General features: G+C 37.3%; 1 annotated feature.

Annotated features, from left to right (window-relative positions):
* Positions 4443-4602: an enhancer, noted in NCBI's record as "active region_3992". NCBI's record gives its function as "activates an Ori minimal core promoter by ATAC-STARR-seq in GM12878 lymphoblastoid cells {active_cell/tissue: GM12878}" and the evidence as "EXISTENCE:reporter gene assay evidence [ECO:0000049][PMID:35858748]".

Genomic DNA, 6121 nt, shown 5'->3' with positions numbered 1-6121 from the left:
TCAAATCTTACATATCCATGTATTAATACATATCAAGTGTTATGTATGAAGTCTTACATATCAATCAGTTATTCATTCCTTCAACAAAAGTATTCATTAATATCTGTCACAGTCAGTGGATGAGGCACTAGAAACCAACTGATGAACAACACTGGCTTGGTTCCTGCCATCATAATGTAATGTGACTCACTGTTGGAGTGGAGGTTAGTGGGGAGAAGATACACAGACAAATCTCTCTCCCTCTCTCTGTCTCGCTCTCTATTTAGCAAAAGTGGGAACATTTCTTTGTAATGTGACTTTGCAGCTCCTCTCAATAAGAAGTAGAGTCTCTTAAGATTTTAATCCAGGCTTGTGTGTTACTTGATTTGGCCAATGGGATATTTTCTGTCTGTAATCTTTTGTGATCTTTGTAAGAAAACTGTGGCTGCATGTTATAGAACAGAAGTGATCAAGATGAAATAAAAAAAAAAAAACCCTAGAATTTGTAACTGTCACAGAATTAACAGATTCTTATGTTAAGACTCTTCCTTTACAGTTAGGGATTAAGGAGGGATTAGCTGAGTCTAGGTCGCTCATCCAGTAAAGCGTAGATTAGGACTAATAGAAATGATAACACCTCACATATATTACGTTCCTACTAATGGAGCAGGTTGCCAATGAAAATATAGTAGAGTAGTAATTTTATTTTAAAATTCTAAATTTTTTCGATGCTTCTCCTTGGTAAGACTATAAATGGCTATAAAAAATAAAATAAAATAAATGTTTCTCCTTCATTTATCCTTCCCCTCTTCTGCTATCTCAACTTTGTCTTGTCTTCTAGATCCTTCTTATCTATATACAAGCATATGTTAGTATCCCTAAACTTAAAACACTCTCTCCCAAATTAACTTTTATCACCAATCCATTTGTTTGTTACTTTTAACAAAGTATTTAAGAGAGTTATTTAGATGTGATACCATCTCAAATTTCTCACCGCCTATTCACTGTTAAACCTACTCCAAAATGGGATCTCTCCCCAACTATTTCCATGAAAACTGTTCTCACCAAGTATATCAACAACCCCCACATTGCTTGATCCAGTACAAACTTACTATTTTCATCTTACTCAATCTTTTGACCACATTCATCATAGCTGAACATGATTATCCCTAGCTCCTGTGATACTATACTCATGCAATTTTTTTATAACTCATGAGCCATTGCCCCTTGGTTATGTGTGTGTGTGCATGTGCATGTGTGCACATGTGTGTATATAAACAGGGACAATATGCATAAGTGTAAGTCCTTAATTTTTCAGCTCAATTAGTTTTTACATATGCACATACCTGTTTAACTACCACCCAGATAATGATATGGAATAGTTCCAGAGTGCTCCTTCATGCCACTTCCAAATCAATACACACACTCCTGCCCAAAGAATTAATACTATTCTGACTTATGTAAACATATATTGCAGGGCTCCCAATAATATCAAGAGATGGCAAAGTCCATTGACATGCACATTGCATGCTTCTTTCTGAGACTGAGAAGCATTTTTTATACATCCCATTGACCAAATCAAGTAACAGTAACACGGGTAAGCCTTGGTTAAAAGAATAGGAGATTCCACTTCTTGCTGAGAGAAGCTGCAAAGTCATATGACAAAGGAATTTTTCCATTTTTGCTAAAGAGAAAGAGGCACAGAGAGAGAGAGATTTGCCTGTATAAGTTCCCCTCATTTACCACCACTCCAAGAGTGAGTCACATTACATCACGGTAAGGATTAAGCCAGTGTTGTTCACCAGTTGGTCTCTAGTACCTCATCCACTGACTGTGACAGATATTATTAAATATTTATTGAAGTAATGAATGACTAAATGATTTATATTTACTTAGTCCCTGGTTTTGTAACTCCTACTTGGTGCTTAGAAAATGGCTCTAGAATAGAGTTGTTGTAAATCTGCAGAAAGAGGAATCTGAGTTAGGGGTGCATATTAAAATTCAGGTCAATATTACAAACGGACTGAGTTGTGATGACAATCTGTCCCCAGATCCGTATGGTTCCAAGCCAACGAAAGATCTGTATCCCTTTGTTCTCCTCAAACTCTCTTCCACTGTTTTGTTTGATTGTTAGTTTTCTGCTGGAGAAATTGTTTATTATTCCTTCTGTTGATTGTTAGTTTTCTGCTGGAGAAATTGTTTATTATTCCTTCTGCTTTCAATTGCATTCACTAATAATGATAATCACAGCTCTCATTCATTGAGCAATTGTAAGGTGGCAAGCACTGTACTATATACCTTTGTTACGTTCAGTGATCAAAATGTTTCTATTTATCAATATAATTTATTTAATTATTAATTTATTGTTCCTATTTCCTATGAAAAGATACTGAGACTCCAACATAACCAAGAAATTACATGGCAGAACTGGGAATGCAATACAAAAACATGACTCCAAGCTCACAAGCCTAAGCACTACGCCCTCCTGGCCTTCGTGAATACATTTGTTTGGAATTTTAGAGTTAAAATTTAGTGGAATTTATCTATAAAAATAGAATCTTGGGATGTACACAATTTCCAATGTTATCTAGTTCAATATTCAAAGTTTAACACTTCTCTCCAGTATACTTGGCAAGCAGTAGCCTGGTTATTTTTGTAATTCCTCCAGTCATAAAGGAGCTAACAACTTTACTAGAAAGCCCATGCCATTTCTAGGGTAGAAAATGTATTTTATAGTCATGAGTGAGTGAAGGAGAGAGGAAGAAAGAAATAGAGCCAAATAGATGGGCCCCACTCCCTGTATTTCAGTGAAGTGCCAACGCCTTCCTGTTTGAGATAATCCAGTTGATGTCAGATTGTCCCCAATATCTCTTATCAGGTTAGTGATTCCTTTTTTAGAGGGGGCAGAGAACGAGAGAATTGGCAACATGAAATAAAAGTATTCACCCAGAAATCCAAAATTTGGATTCTGTGTGTGTTTCCATGCACATTTGTATGGATCAGGGATCAAATAAATAAAATCTCCTTGGGGAATCATGAAGCATAAGAAGTAACTGTCTCGACCTGACCCCAACAGATACTTATACATCATTATTTGTAAAAAAAAAAAAAAAATACCAGGCTTCTCTTCCTTAGCAAAGCTGAGGTAAAGGGCAGTGAACAAGGGAGGAAATTCAGGGTGTGTCTTTGGATGAGTGTTGTTCCAGATCCATTTCACAGTATATTTTCCCTGTAGTTGGTCCCTGAAGAAAATGTTTTATTTATTTTTCCCCTTGGGCAAAGAAAACTGAGGAATGTAATTATGCTCCTGTCTGGACATCCATAAAACCCATCAAAGGATATGACACGTACAATAATGGAAACAAAGCAAATACAAATTAAGCATAACTATCTATAATCCACTGCCTTATATAAAACTTTTTAATAGTCTGTGGAACTAGTAACTGAGAAAACACAGGCCACCACTTACAGCTGTTCAAGATGTACACTGCACCAGTCCAGAAGGTAACTTTCATCTTGTTTTCATTGACAGATTTGTGTACCTATTTTTCCAATTTCCTGGCAGGTGGCAATACTGTTTTTTAAGGAAGGGAAGCCTTTTTGTTGTTTTGTTTTCCCCCTAATTCACCCAGATTTTCCCATGATGATAGGAAAATATCACTGTGCATCTCAGAAGCTATGCTCCTTACTGGCACTGGAAGATAGCCTGCAAACCAAGACATGGTTCTTTTAGGGTAATAAGCTGAGTTGCATTCCTTCAGGGTTTTTACAAGACATAAAATTGGTGTTCCAGGAAACATTAAATTCAATTGCCCTCAGATAGCCCAATACCTTCCACTGGAGACAGGTATATTTTTTTCTTCAGAACTTAATAAAACCAGTCAGCAAACAAATGGGTTTCATCTCTGACCTGGGACAATGAGCCATGCCAAACACCAGTGTTCTCCTCCCTAAGGCAGTGGGATTTGTGAACTTCATTAGTTTTAGGAGTCCAGTTACCTGTGGATTTATAGAAGTAGTGTGCTGCAGTGATTAGACAATGGGCTGGTAGACAGAGTATCTTGGTTGCAATTCTGACTTTTGCATTCATGTGACTGGCATATCAATGGCCTTCTATCTACCTCCTTCTCCTCATATGGAAAACTGAGGTGACCATATCTGCCATTCCTGCCTTTCATAATTGTGGAGCTTAAATGCATGAAGTTGACACAAATCAATGTGTAAAAGGACATTATAGATCATAATGTATTATACAAATATAGGGGCCTGTTAAATATTTTAATTTTATCTTTAAGGCCGAGATTACAAACTCTAGCAGATAAAGGACCAGTTAGATAGCTGTAGCAGCCATTAGGCTATTGACTTTCATTTTCAAAACCTCTTTCTTTATACTATTTTGTGATGCTAGGGCCTGATCTCTGAAAACCACATTTTGACTTAGCCAATTACTAGAGGCTCAGCTCACGGAGGCACTAGAAGGCGGCTGGAAGGCTTGAAGAGGATGAAAGAACTTAAGTCTTTTCGGTTTTCTTCCTGTTTCTGTTTTGTTTCAGTTTTAGTTTTCCTTCTGTTCCCATTAGTGTCCACTTAGCAACATTTCTCCATCCTAGTGACAGCAGTGCATTCCAGGACTAGCAGTGCTGGGATTATAATTTTCAGTTTGTCCAACTTTGGCAGAATAAGTCTCATCATTTCTCCTCAAAGACACCCATACCAGCTGGCACTACTTTCTGCAAAAGTCTGGGTTGCAGTCTCACCAGGCCCCTTCTCAGAGGTTGATTTGAACTTTACAGAGGCCCTTTCACATACCTTCAAGGTTGAACAAGTACAACGTTTTCCTTGATTTTCTTCCAGCCCCGGGGGGTCACAGCTGCTTCCTACATTTGCTGTCCGTGATTCTTCAATATGCAGTTTTTATTTTTCATATTAAATCCTCTCTGTTAAACTAATTGACATAAGTTACATCTCCTCACTGGCTCCTGACTAATACAGAGATAAAAATTTGTTAAGCAGGTTTGATATTTCTTGCACATCTACACATGATTTCTGTTTGCTTTACATTGCTTGTTTTTTCTCATATAGCGTGTTTTTTCATGCATACCTGCACTTGGTTTGCATAGTAAACAAGAAATCCATTTCCACAGACTTATGTGCTGTTTTTCTTTCTCTTTCTCGCTTTCTTTCTTTTCTTGTTGAAGCATAACTCTATCTTGCACTACCTTAATTTACCTACTTCTGCTAAGTATGTGTATCCAAATAATATTTGACTTTTCTCTAAACATTAGGGGAAAATTTAAGCATAATTGCCACAACAGCAACAAAAGACAACTTTCACCGGAACTTAGGACCAAGGGGAAATAGGGAGAAGTGGAGAAAGTGACAAACTAGAGAGTACATGCTAAAGGCCAAGCTTGACTCAGTTCCTGCTGATGGTGATGACGAAGGCAATGTGAGATCACTGGGGCCAGGTTCCCAGATTTTTCACAAGAAAACAAAAATCCATGTTTGTGCTTTGAATTGAAATGCTCATGACTATTTTTAAAAGAATATTGAATATTGTGCTGGATGACATTGTGCAGACTAAACAATAGCCATCAGTGCTAAGCAGTTGCCAGAGTTGCTTTACAACTTCCAAATCTTGTTTCTACCAGCCAACTTTTCATGCATCCTCTTGTACTCTCAGATAATCACATTACCGCAGAAGGTGCACAAATGCCCTGACACCAAAAAGAAAAACCCAGTTATTAACAGAAGTCATTGATCAGATCATCATGATTTGAGAAAGCTCTGTATGTATTCTCTATTCCTGAAACAATTTAGGAAAAAGTTGCTGTTGAAAGGTTTTGAGGAATAGAGGCTGGATTGGAAACATAACTCTAAATTACTGTTTTTAAATCACTTGAACATAATTGGCATTTCCTTCCAAATATGAACCTCAGAATAATAACAGTAAGTTCCAGACCCATGAATGCTATCACAGTTACAGAGCTACTGCTGGTCACTAGAAGATCTCTGGTGAAAAACTTATGGCGGACTACCATTTTTTCAGGGGCTATGATTTTGGAACTTGTTAATGGTAGTGAATTGAGCCAAATTTAGATTAAGGGATCTTCTTACATACGGTGGTGGATTGTGAAGACTA

The sequence above is a fragment of the Homo sapiens genome, chromosome 10 (assembly GCF_000001405.40).
Source record: "Homo sapiens chromosome 10, GRCh38.p14 Primary Assembly".
Classification (NCBI taxonomy): Eukaryota; Metazoa; Chordata; class Mammalia; order Primates; family Hominidae; genus Homo; species Homo sapiens.
Note: the sequence above shows the minus strand (reverse complement) of the source record. Positions and strands in the feature narration are given on the sequence as shown.